The 13,568-nt window shown below is 34.9% G+C and overlaps 1 protein-coding gene across 11 annotated transcripts in view; it reads left to right on the forward strand.

Annotated features, from left to right (window-relative positions):
• Window positions 1–13,568, forward strand: part of FAR1 (fatty acyl-CoA reductase 1) — a 63,679-nt gene that overhangs the window by 41,148 nt on the left and 8,963 nt on the right. For 2 of the 11 annotated variants that reach the window (NM_032228.6, NM_001441246.1), the window contains 6 exons: window positions 878–1,055; window positions 1,949–1,993; window positions 2,113–2,231; window positions 3,151–3,218; window positions 4,694–4,865; window positions 11,915–12,044. In NM_032228.6, the coding sequence (NP_115604.1) occupies window positions 878–1,055; window positions 1,949–1,993; window positions 2,113–2,231; window positions 3,151–3,218; window positions 4,694–4,865; window positions 11,915–12,044 (712 nt within the window). Of the gene's footprint in view, window positions 1–877; window positions 1,056–1,948; window positions 1,994–2,112; window positions 2,241–3,150; window positions 3,219–4,329; window positions 4,388–4,693; window positions 4,866–5,160; window positions 10,880–11,914; window positions 12,045–13,568 lie in introns of those variants that run through there. The other 9 variants (NM_001441242.1, NM_001441245.1, NM_001441243.1 and 6 more) reach the window with 9 other exon arrangements.

The following is a 13,568-nucleotide window of genomic DNA, read 5'->3' on the forward strand; positions in this document are numbered from 1 at the left end:
ATGGGTATCATTAGAGTATGACAATATACTGAGTCTACTTGCATACACAGCATTATTGACAAGAAGTAAAAACAAGTACATAATGTATTAGAATCAGAAGTTTAGGAAAAACCATGGACACCACCTAGTATATCGCCCTCCTTTTACAGATGAACAGAGTAGACCATTTCTTCAAAGAGAACTGGAGGAATTTTTTTGACTTCATAGTAGGTTGCTAATTGAATTTTTATAGCATGCTTCAATTTATTTTTATTGTTCATCATAGCATTTGTTAATCTCATTAGAGCATATGATTTGCAGTGCTGCACCTTAAATACTAGGCCTTTTATGCCTTTTGTGTTCATTATAAATGTATGTTAATTATAACTGTATATAATTAACATGTTACTTCATTAGGTGGTTATATACAGATCTGTATTTCCTAACCTGCAAACTTCCAGAAGGTTTCAGATATATTTTGGAATTTATTTGGACTTTAGAGAGGGTATATAATTTATGTACTGTGTAATAAGAAAAAACTTTAACTTGATCTGGGTTAGTATCCCTGATCAAATACATGTAAAATATATGAATGTTTAAGTTGTATCAAAAAAAAGACCATAAGTCAGTGTAGATCAGATTTTGCTATCCACTGTATGATTTATGAAAGAACTCTTAGTTTTCAGATCTTTTTGGATACAGAAATTGCAGATAAGGGATTGTGGACCTGTAGTTGATGTTTAAGAAAAATAAGACTAAGTTCCATTTTTCAGTAAAAGTTGTCAAATGATTTGAGTCAGAACAGCAGATATGTTTGAATGTGCGAAGTTCAATTAAGTAGCTTTTTATTTTATAGTAAAATATCTGGAAATATATTTGTATGCAATTTCTTTACCAGGTGGATGGATGATGGCCTAGTAAATGATATCACGCCAAAATTGATAGGAGACAGACCTAATACATACATATACACAAAAGCATTGGCAGAATATGTTGTACAACAAGAAGGAGCAAAACTAAATGTGGCAATTGTAAGGCCATCGATTGTTGGTGCCAGTTGGAAAGAACCTTTTCCAGTAAGTTGTTAGAAACCTTTATAAATAACTGGAGTTGAGAATTTTAAGTTGTAACTCTGTATAAAAAGAGCTGGCAGTTCTTTAAGAACAGGTATTATTTACTAAAGGTGAATTACCATGGCAAAGCTGTTTTGTGTTCATAGAGTTAATTTTATTGGTACTTTCATTTCTATAATGTGACGCTGGGTATATAGAAATGTAGATCAACATTTAAAAAATCCTAAGTGAAAATTAAAAGCTGTGACATTTTCTTAAGTCAGAGGAGATTTGGTTTGTTTCTTAGTAGCAAAAAGAGGCAGACCTTCCAGGAGGTAGACCCCTTCCTCTGTAGATCACAAAGTAAAAAAGGTACAGGGTGTTAGGGTATTTGTGAATTCCTGGAATGAGAGAAAGCAGAAATATAAACCAGTTGGGTCAATTGATTTAGGCAAAACCTAGGTCTGTGTAATGGTAGTAAGTGATAGCATCTGTTGTTGCTTTGACAATTATTCTATTTTTCTCTGTTTTATTCATAATTTTGAGGAGGATTTACCATTTTCCCTAATCTCAGGCTATTGAATTAGTAAATAGCATAAAATCAAACTTGAACAAGCTTAATTTTGTAAAAATATTCAACAATATAAACCCTCTTTTATAAATTTCTCTTTGCAGAGAGTTAATGGAAGAGTAGTAGGTAGCCCTTTGAAAATGATTTTACTCAATTATTTTTGATCCCAGAGGAAGACTGCTTCTGTTTGGGACTGGTAGAAATAGTCTGGCCTGAATCTAGTCTGTTTTTTAGTTTTTAGAAGACAGCTACCAAGTATATATTTGGGGTTGTAGAGTTCAAATAATAAATCTCTAGCTTCATAATGTTTCTAAGCTTCTCTCCCTTTTAAAATTTTTGGTATTAGGGATGGATTGATAACTTTAATGGACCAAGTGGTCTCTTTATTGCGGTAAGTAAACCTTTTGATTTATTTAATATTCTATACATTTTTCTGCTTTTTGTATATCTTTAAATATATATACACTATGGCTTATATATCTTAAGGTGTTGTTTTTAATTTCAACAAAGGCAGGGAAAGGAATTCTTCGAACAATACGTGCCTCCAACAATGCCCTTGCAGATCTTGTTCCTGTAGATGTAGTTGTCAACATGAGTCTTGCGGCAGCCTGGTATTCCGGAGTTAATAGGTATATGAGGTGACAATGTCGCTTATTAAATATATAGTAACTGAAAAGGGAAGACATAGCTTTTGAGTAATGTTAATTAATCCCTCTATCCAGATATTGCCATACCAATATTTAGGCTGTATCACTGCCAACTCCAAGAGTTGGTATTATCACAGACAATAGCAAGTGCTCCCATCAGTAGTAATGAAGAATTAATGTTAATGCTCATGTATTACTTACAGGATAGACAAGTTCACTTAAAAATGAAAAAAAAAAAAATACCCTCCCCTAAGCATGATTTTTTAATCCAAACTAAAACTTGTTGAATATATAAAGAGCTGAAATTCACAGAATATGGTTTACATATATTAAACATGGTACACCAGAGCAGCTTTAATCAGCCCATGAACATCTTTCCTTTAAAAAATAATAGTAGCATTTACAGGTAACACTTAAACTTTAAACTTCCCAATAACTTTTTTTTTCTAGGTAGTAAACTACCCTTATTTTTGATAATCAGTATTTTCTGTCCTAAAAAAAGAGAGATAGGATTATATGAATATGTTGTTTCTGGCAAAAGGAAACTTAGTCCATAATTTTTTTTCAGCTAGATCCTCTGAAAATGAGACAAGAAGAGCTGAGGTCATTTGTTGTTTTCCTCGTGTTTAAAAATAGACATTCCTGCTAATATAAGGAGGAAAAATGTGAAAGAAAAAAGTCTGTATTTTTTAAAATAAGTTATTATTTTTGGTAGGGGAAGAAGAAAGGGTAGTTGTAAATAGTCATTAAAGTAAAAACTAATCCTTTAAGGATAATTAAAAAAAAATAGTATAGAAAAGGTGCCCATCATCCTCATGTCTTCTTGAATACTATGTAGGACTTAGATTGGATATGTTTGGCCTCTTATTATGATTAATTGGTTTCATCTTTGTCTTTGCAGACCAAGAAACATCATGGTGTATAATTGTACAACAGGCAGCACTAATCCTTTCCACTGGGGTGAAGTTGGTATGATTTTACCTGTGTTTTTGAATGTTAGAATAAATCTTAAAGAACCAAGTTCCCTGAAGTTTTAATGTTAGAATACCTATGAGGCATTAAGGCCACTGAGTTACCAATTTGTTCTTAATTGTCGTCTTAGAAGTATTATCTACCAATACTACCTTGTGGTCCTTAATAATGTTTCACAAATTTAAAAATATACTGCTGTCTATTCTTACCCACCCACCCTACCCTTGTCTAAGCCTTGCTGTTTTTCTCCTGCCATCTGCAGTAGCCCTCGTAGATACCTATGGCATGGGAACAGTGCTTTTTTTCTCCCTTGTGAGCACCCTCAGTCTTGATGTTGCCTATCCATAGGCAGTATCACTTCTTACAAGAGGTGGTATATCAAGTGGTACCCAGAGTAATAAATGAAGGAGTTAGGAAGTAGGATACAGTTTGCCAGAATATTTTCTATTAACCTGTATTAATCTATTTAAATTCACAGATTCACAGCAGATATACATGTTCCTAGTTCTATAGGAATAGCATAACTTAAATAGGAATAGTTAAAACCCATTGAAATTGAGTCAATTTTAAATTGTTGGTTGATGAGTTCAAATTTAAAGTAAAATTTTTTTGGCATTGATTTAGTGATAGGTCTTATTTAACCTCTAATTGATTAATTACCCCTGCAGAACAATTTTGATTTCAATGTAGATTTTTTATGACATTTGTCCTAGGATTTTTCTGTGGCATTTTTATTTCAGTGTAAAATTGACCATTAGAGCATATAAGAAAAAGATAAAATCTAAGGTGATTTTAACTTTATGATAATTATTTTCAGTATTCTTTTAAGAATATTTAAACATTTTTAATGAGTTAGGTTTTTTTGTAATCTTTTATTGTGTTATAAAGTTTAGTAAAAGCTGAAATTGAGCGTTATATTTTAGTGACTATCTCAATATACATTTCTAGTAAAGTATTAATATAGATGATACTAGGTTTGATTATGTTGACATTACATAGCCTATATAAATTACAACAGAAGTTAATTTTGGGTTGTTTTAAGCCTGTTAATGTATGTTAATTTGAGCATCTTAAGCAAAGGATGATTATTTTCCTTTTCTTTTTTAAGTAAGTACAGTAATAAGAGTCTGGAAAGAGGAACAGAAAGGAAGAAGCTATCGTGAGAGGTGAAATATAGAAAGTGACACTGTAAACTGACATAGGTAAAACATTAAAAGGATTTTAAGAGTGAATTTTAGCAAAAATTCATTCATCTAAAATTCATAAATAGCGGCAGTTACAAAACCACTTGAGTTTAGCAGTCTAATAACCATATTCTCTTAGCTACTAGAGAGTAGAAAAGTTTGTTTTTTAAATGTACGAACTCTGACATCTTTGGTAAAATATTTTGCATTATAAAAACATGATTTTTTTTTTTCAAAACTTCATTACATGGTTATTATCAAAGCTGTTACACAACTTTTCTTCTTCAGAGTACCATGTAATTTCCACTTTCAAGAGGAATCCTCTCGAACAGGCCTTCAGACGGCCCAATGTAAATCTAACCTCCAATCATCTTTTATATCATTACTGGATTGCTGTAAGCCATAAGGCCCCAGCATTCCTGTATGATATCTACCTCAGGATGACTGGAAGAAGCCCAAGGTAATGGTGACTAGCTCTGTCTTATCTGTTCCTCTGTTAAACAACCCATGCTTACACTAAAATGCATATTAACTCTGTATTTGTTTATGCTTATGATAAGGCTTAATAGCCTTTTGTGAATGAGAAGCCTCTTGAATTTAAGACTTTGTCAGAAAAGCAAAGGTAGTGTTGTAAGTCACTCTAATTTGTTTAAAGTTTGGATAAGTTATTGTCATGTATTGAATTCTAAGTCTTACTTTAGGCTTCTTTCTGAATAACAATATTTAAATTGCTTTGACGCTTATTTTTCCTACAGGATATTATGTAAGTCATTCCTTCAAGATGAATCCTTTAAACCAAGTATTCAGGTGCCCCAGTTTTAAGTTTAATTCCAACAGCCTATCGCATCATTATCGGAAGGGTGTCAGCCATAGAGTATCTGCATTATTGCTCGATTGCACTCATGTTGACAGGTCAGAAACCGCGGTAAGAAGAATAGCAGTAAATACACTATGTATTGGTAAGGTGGTGGCAGCTTGCTGGAGAGATGAAAAAAATCACTAGCATGAGCTTTACCTTTAGATTTACTCACCTGATTAATCACAATCAGAATGCTAGGACATTTCTTAGAATTTGGAGATCTTTGGGGACACTAACTATGGATCACATCGTATTGGGTCGTTCATCCTCCAAAATTCCATAATATAGGAAATGTCCTACATCATGGTTGTCATTGTTATTATAAGCTGAAATTAAGCCCTTCTCTCCCTCTTAAAAACCTAGGGATGAGTTTGTATAGGGGATTAAGGGCAAAAGTTTTGCTTCAAATGGATGGTGCAGTTTTATGTGAAAAATATAGGATGCTTCTAGAAAATTACTTGAAATATCTCAGCTGCCCATTCAGCTTATAATATGGTTATTTCAGTTTTTGACTAATTATCCAGGTTGGGAATGGCATAGTTATGAAAAAAAAGTTAATAATAAACAGAAAACTTTGTTTTCTTATCGTTGTTATAGCTTTTCTTTCTTTTTTTTGTTGAAATCCCGCAAACTTAAAGATCTCCTACTGTCTTTACCACACAATTACAGTGGAATATACTATTAAAATACTTAATTTTTTTTAACTACATTGGCATTACAGTGGAGTCGTTGATTGGAGAGTTCAGGATTTGAGTATTTTTGTATAAAGAAGATGCTGATCCCAGAACTTCCATCAACTACTCAAAAAATAAAAGTGAGGTAACTGCCAGTTACAGTGTATCAGGATCTGAGTTCCTCGTAGGTATTGTCTGTGGATTCACTTTTCCATGATGTTTCTAACCCTATATGTTAGCTAATTGAAATATGTGAGAGGTGTTGAACAACTTTAGAGCAGGTAAAGAAATATTTTCAGACTTTTCTAGAATGATCTGCAAAATGCAATACTTGCCATTGGAAGCATTCTTCATGGCTAAAATGCAGATGTAAATTCATGAATGGTGGCAGTGCATGCTTTCTTTATATTAATAAGGTTGTTATAATTTAGGACAGAAAAGTAAAAACTGGGTCAAAAAAAAAACAGGTTAAATACATCACATTGCCTTACACGAAGAAAGAGGGCTTAGTAAAATTTTAAAAAAATAAGTGAATAGCTGGTTTACTAAATGCTTCAGAGGAGATGTTGCTGCATAACAAATCATCTCAAACTTAGAAGCTAAAAACAGCAACAGTTATTTTATTATTTCTTTCAATTATTTCTGTCAGGATCAAGAATTTGAGAAAGAATCCACTGGGCAGTTTTGGCTTGGAGTCTTTCATGTGTTTGTGATCAGATGAAAGAGGCCGGTGGGCAGAGAGGCAATGGAACAGCAAGGGGACTGATGTTACTCTTTGTCGTGTCATAAGGATCTCTCCATATAGCTCTTTGCAAGGATTAATGATAGCCTTAGGGGAATTAGACTTCTTATATAGCAGCTGATGGCTTCAAGGGGGAAGTCTTTTAGCAAGTAAGGTGGAGGCTGCGTTGCCTTTTCTGAGCTACCCATGGAAGTCATGCAGCATCACTTTTGCCTCATTCTTCTAGTTACAAGTGAGTCACAAATCTTCTTAAATTTTTTTTCATATGTTCATAATTTTATTTTGGTGCCTGACATAGCACATTTTTTAAAAATACTTCAAGTTCTAGGGTACGTGTGCACAACGTGCAGATTTGTTACATATGTATACTTGTGCCATGTTGGTGTGCTGCACCCATTAACTTGTCATTTACATTAGGTATTTCTCCTAATGGTATCCCTCCCCCCTCCCCCCACCCCACGACAGGCCCCCAGTGTGTGATATTCCCCACCCTGTGTCCAAGTAAGGGGATTTAGAAAGTGGTCAAGATGAAGGGTATTGTTGCCATCATTTTTGGAAAGTACAATCTGCTATAGTCAACCTTCTGGCCAAAACAATTCATATTTCTTCTACATGGAAAGGACAGTTGCTTCTTCCCCACTCATCCTGCCTTCCCCCTCGCGCCTCCCCATCCCCACCACCGCCCCAGATCCCTGTGGCATCAGCTGGAAGCCAGGGTTTTGTCATCTAAATCTGGTCAATTGGCGGATGACGCTCTTTAGGAGTGATTTTGTCAGCATAGCTCCTCAAGTATAGTTCCTCAATAATTGATATGTGAACTAAAGCAACGAGTTACTGACTGCCCATACGCCCATCATAAATGATGGTAAGCATAGGATAATGGCTTTAGACAGTTTTATTCAAAAAGAGAGAAATTGGGAGGCACCCAGCAAACACTGGTCTATAACATTTCTGAATTCCAGTCAGATATGTGTTGATGATTTCTTGATAAGGAGCTCAGTCTTATTCTCTGGGAGTTCTCTGAGGTTCTTGCCTCTGCCCTCTGAGTCATCCTTCCTTTTGCATAAAAACTGGCCTGTGGGCTCTGTGTGCAGCCAAGTAGCCTTCTTATCCTGCTTCGTGCCCATGAAAGGTTAGGGGATCAGGGCAGGAACTGGAAAGCTTTTCTTGTAAATTAAGGCCATATAGTAAATATTTTAGGTTTAGCAGGACATGCGGTTTTTGTTGAAGCTACTCATCTTTGCTGTTAAAAATGAAAGCAGCCATAGACAATAGGCAAATGAATGAATATGACTGTGTCCCAGTAAAACTTTATTTACAAAAACAGGTGGTGGGCTGGATTTGGTATATAGGCTCTGGTTTGCTGACCCTTGATATAGCAGTCTCTTCATTTTTTTTTTCTTGTCTATCCCTTTACATGTAATCTGACATGATTGCTTAAAAATTGTGTGAGTTTCCGGTGTATCTGTTTTCAAGGAATCCAGCCTATTAGACGAAAGCCATACCCATAAGTTTCTTTGACACAAACCCTTCTCTATCTTGGGTCCCCTGTGAGGTTCCTATGGGACAGCACTTTTAGATCTTAAATCCTTGCCTCTTAGATCCTGCCTTTTGAACAATAAGAGTTTCTGTTACACATTTCTTTAAGATCTGGAGAGTGCCTTTTGTCTGTCTGAAAGTTCTGGAAGGCACTGCCTAGGTCTTTCTAAAGTCTTAGCAAAGGATTCATCTTCCCCTACCCTGCTATGCTCAGAAACTGTTTCTTAAAGAATTCCTGGCTGACATTTTACATTTCCTCCAAATTCCACTCAAATAGTTCATTTTTTTAAGATCATCTTTGTCCTCTTTTGCCCTCTTTCAGCAAATTTCTGCTAGATCATTGAGTTTATTAGTACACTTTCTATATTCCATATAACCAGAGGTGACAGTTTGTTGTCCTCACTTCAAGCCCTCACCAACAGCTTTCTTAAAACCCTTTAAGGCTTCCATTAATAATGTTTTCCTGGTCCTTTCACATTTCACTACTGATCACCTCACAGGCCTTAGAGATTTTGTTTACCACTTGACCCTGAAGCCAATACCACATGTTTTAGGTTTTTATTATAGCAGCCCCTCCCAGTGTTGAGATCTGTGTTGAGATTTGTTAATCTGTTTTACATAACAAGTCACCTCAAACTTAGTGTCTTAAAGCAATCATTTTATTTGTGTGTCACAATATCTGTGGGTCAGGAATTCTAGAAGGGTTAGCTTGATGGTAATGGCTCAGGATCTTTCAAATGATTGTAGTCAGACAGGGACTGGAGGAACTTTGCTGTGGAGGGAGTGGTAAAGGGGGGAAGGGGACAGAGTAGCTGGGGTGGCTGGGCATCTCTCTCTCTCCAGTAGTGTCATACCCTCTCCATGTGGCCTCTCCATATGGACTAGTTTGAGCTTCCTCGCAGTATGGCAGCCTCAGGGGGAGTTGGACAGCATACACAGTGACTGAAGGCTTCAAGGGTGAGTATTCAGTGAGCAAGACAGAAAGCTCTACACCTTTCTGACCTAGCCTCGGAAGTCACATCATGTCACTTCCACCTCATTCTGTTGGTTCTAAGTTATTTTCAACTCTCATTGAGAAGACAGTCAAGGTGACATTGTATTGTAGGTGGGCATGTAGGATGGAGATAATATCATAGGCACCTTTGGAAATTAATATCTTTCCTAAATAGGAAACGTTAAGGAAACAGTCTTCTTAACTGAGGTTTGTGCTGTGTGAGGCTTTCTAAGTATCAAAGCAGGACAGATCCTTGACCTCCGGGAGCTTATAATCTGAATGCAACAAGGAATATAAAGGTTTTTTTACTTAGACAATTTTGTAAATGTTAAATACAAAGTCTTATAATTTATAATATTTCATTTGTTCAGAAATTTATTGAGCACAGTAATAGACTTTACACCTTATATTGGGGCCTTACTATGATGCCTAATTCTACATTAAACTGATGTCAGTCATGTCATTCATTTCATCCAGTTTACTTGTTTACATAATAATTCTGAATGTGAGCTAGATAAGCATCTGACCTGACATTTTTTAAAAAATGGCTCCATGATCTTATGTTTTGGTTAACTAGCATAACTTTATCTAGCTTAACTTCTCTAAACCAGGTATCTATTTTTAATCTGTGTACTTCTCAGCTGGAGACATTTGACAACATTTGCAGGTATTTTTAGTTATCACAACAGGGGGAGGGCTGCTACCAGCACCTAGAGGCCAGGGATGGTGACAAGCATCTTATAGCATGCAAGATAGCCCTCCACACGAAAGAATGATCAGACCCACAATATTTATAGTGCCAAGGTTGAGAAACCCTGGACTAGATAATCATTAAGATCTTGCCTTACTCTAAAGGATTGTGATTATTTTTTTAAGTTGCCATAATAAAGAATAAATACATATTCAGAACATACCTGGCAATGTAGTCATAAACATCTGTTCTAAGGTATGTTTAACCAAGGAGTGATGGTGCAAAGTTTTACATTTCTTATTCCCCAATAGTTTTCAATCCAGTATTTTTGTTGCATGATAAATATTCTATAAATTTCACACACAAATATATGGCCTTTCAAATTTCTTCCCCCTCCCCGATTTTTTATTGCAATTATTTTTTGAATGGCTGAATTACTGATTGATGTTAGGGTGATTGTGTCACTTGAATGAATCTGAAGATAAGATTAGGTGAGAGAATTATCAGTGAACAAGAGTTAAGAAAAACTTTTTAATAAGGTATATATAGGAAAACCGTGTTAGCTGTGTGTGTGTGTGAGATTTAAGTATGCTAAACTGGCGTGATAGTATATATTGATGTAGTGACAAACTTGTTGTATCTTTTTGTTTAGAAAAAAATAATCACCTAATCTTTTCTAAGAGCAGCATGTGTTTTTCCCCCAGATGCTTTTTATCTACAGAACTATCCCTGTCCAGAAATTGCCTTAGATGCTTGATAATTCGTTTTGTGTTTGAGATTTTATTTTGAAGTTACTTTATTGGATGAAATATAGTTTTTTTTTACATAGTTTATATTGCTTCATTTTCTTCCAGTATTCTGGATTCAGAGTTTATTTCTAAATGTATTGAATTGTGTTATCAGAAGTGCTTAGCTAATGATACTTTTTTGATTTTTTTCTCCTTATTTCTAATGTAATTTCCCTCCATGCCCCTCCCATTTCTAAAACCCCTAATTTTGAGACTGTCTAAACTACATGATACATATAATCCTAATCGTTATTATAATATAAATGAAATCTTTAAAAAGTACTTCTCCAAAAATTCTTTTTCTGTTCACAGAAGTGGGGATTTTTTTGGTGTTTGTTTTGTTTCAGAAAGTTCTTTCTTCCCTTTCCCTACTTATAATAAATATTATTGTATAGATGTTACTGCTCAAGTTAGTGTTATGATATCAATGACTTACAGTGAGCCATGATATATAAAATGACAGATTTAAAGATTAAAGCTCCTTGTACTTTTAAAAACAAAGAATCACAGTCTTTCTTTAAAGACACACTTTAAAAAGAGTGTCACACTCCTTTATTTCTGTAAGGATGAGTATTGGTGGGGTATGGAGAGGTGAGTGGATATCTATTTCAGATAGTTTTCAGCATGAGTCATTGATTTCACAGCACATCCAGATGATCAAGAGTGGTGCCAATCATTGTTAAAGAAAAGTTGTTTTGTTTTTTTAAATGAATAGAGTTGACTATGTGGCAAACGAATATTTCTGTATTGTTTGCTTCAGCAGTGCTGAAGAGTTGGAATTATAAATATAACACAGTATGTTATTAATTCACAGGAAATCTTAGCAAATGCAGCTGTGAATTAAAATGTAGTTTAAGGAATAGAAAGCAAGGAAATATTAATTGAATCCATTCATTTGCTTAGTATTTTATGTAGAAAATTTAAGAGTATTGTATACCCTTTGAGAATTAATTCTGTATATCAGCAGAACTCTGTTTAGGTGGTATTAAATGCATTTGCTGCTGCTTTCAAAAAAAATTTGTTTTCCTTTTGGATTTATAAATTGTTCATCCAAGATGCAGAAATAGTCTTATTCCCTGCTGATTTGGTACACTTAATGATTAAATGTTATAATTTTAATACTAATGTCTATATTATAGGGGGAAACTTGCACCCTGGGTGGTGATAGGATTTTTCCTAATCTATACAAAATATGAATCTGTCCATTTTTCTTACAATACAGGATGATGAAAACAATAACTCGTCTTCACAAAGCTATGGTGTTTCTTGAATATTTCACAAGTAATTCTTGGGTTTGGAATACTGAGAATGTCAATATGTTAATGAATCAACTAAACCCTGAAGATAAAAAGGCAAGCAAGTATTTTCTGTTTTATATTAGAAAATAAGTAGCATACTAATTACAGAACTATTAGCAACCTGAGAAATATTTTCCACAGCTATTATGCAACAAGTAAGCCATTATTTATAGTCTCTCATAAAGCTTTAGTCATAATTGTTAGTGGTGAAATAAAATTGCTGTATCTTAACATTTCTAGTGTAAGTATTTTAGAGTGGCAAAGGTATTTTCAAAGCATGATTGAAATGTTGATTCTTTTTTTCCCTTAATGTTGGTTTCAGAGAGAATTTTATCTTTATGTGTTTTTCTTTCAAACACTTTGTTTTCTCTTGAGTTTTGAGAAAAAGCTTCTCTAAGAAATTGTTTTTTATAAACTCTTTTACTTTTTGTTATTCCACATTTTGCCCTTTGTTACTTTGGAACTTAAATTCTTTGTGTATGTTCTTTTTGAGCTTACTCTAGATGTTTTAACATGTATATCTAACACAGACTAAGTTAAGCAATATTTATAGCCTCCTTCTTAATAATAATAATATTTAGAACCTTAAAATGTTTTAGTTGTGATTACCACTCCCACTCACTTAAAATGGTTGTATTAATACATTACTTCAGTTCTCTAATTTTTTTTTTCTTTTTCTTTTTTTTTGAGATAGAGTTTCGTTCTGTGCCCAGGCTGGAGTGCAATGGCACAATCTTGGCTCACTGCAACCTCTGCCTCCCGGGTTCAAGCGATTCTCCTGCCTCAGCCTCCCAAGTAGCTGGGATTACAGGCACATACCACCACACCCAGCTAATTTTTGTATTTTTAGTAGAGACGGGGTTTCACCATGTTAGCCAAGCTGCTGGTCTGGAACTCCTGACCTCAGGTGATCTGCCCACCTCAGCCTCCCCAAGTGCTGGGATTACAGGCGTGAGCCATCACACCCGGCACAGTTCTCTATTTAAACCCCATGTTGAGATACTCTTTTGTTCATTTAGTTTTTATTTAGATTTCTCCCTCTCTCTCTCTCTCTATATATATATATATATATAAAATATGTATATATGTATACCAATATCTGTGCTTTCAGATTTTCTCCTTATGATCTTCTTTCTGCCTGAAATATATTCAGCATACCTAGAATATGTTTTACTTGGGAATCTGTTTTGTAGTGAATTCTGAGTTTTTGATTGTCTGATATGTGTGTTGTTTCACCCTTGGTTTTGGAACATGATTTCAGCACGTTAAAGAACTTTTTTGCTGGTCATAGTAGCTCATGCCTGTATCCCAATACTTTGGAGGCTGAGGTGGAAGAATGGCTCGAGGCCAGGAGTTCAAGACCAGCCTGGGCAATGTAGCGAGACCCATCTCCACAAAAATAAGAAAAAATCAGACAGGCATGGTGACATGTGCCTGTAGTCCTAGCTACTCAGGAGGCTGAGGTGGGAGGATCAGTTGAGCCCGGGAGGTCAAGGCTGCAGTGAGATGTGATCACGTCATTGCACTCCAGCTTGAACAATAGAGTGAGAGTCTCTCAAAAAAAAAAAAAAAAAAAAA

This window comes from Homo sapiens, chromosome 11, assembly GCF_000001405.40.
Source record: "Homo sapiens chromosome 11, GRCh38.p14 Primary Assembly".
NCBI lineage: Eukaryota > Metazoa > Chordata > Mammalia > Primates > Hominidae > Homo > Homo sapiens.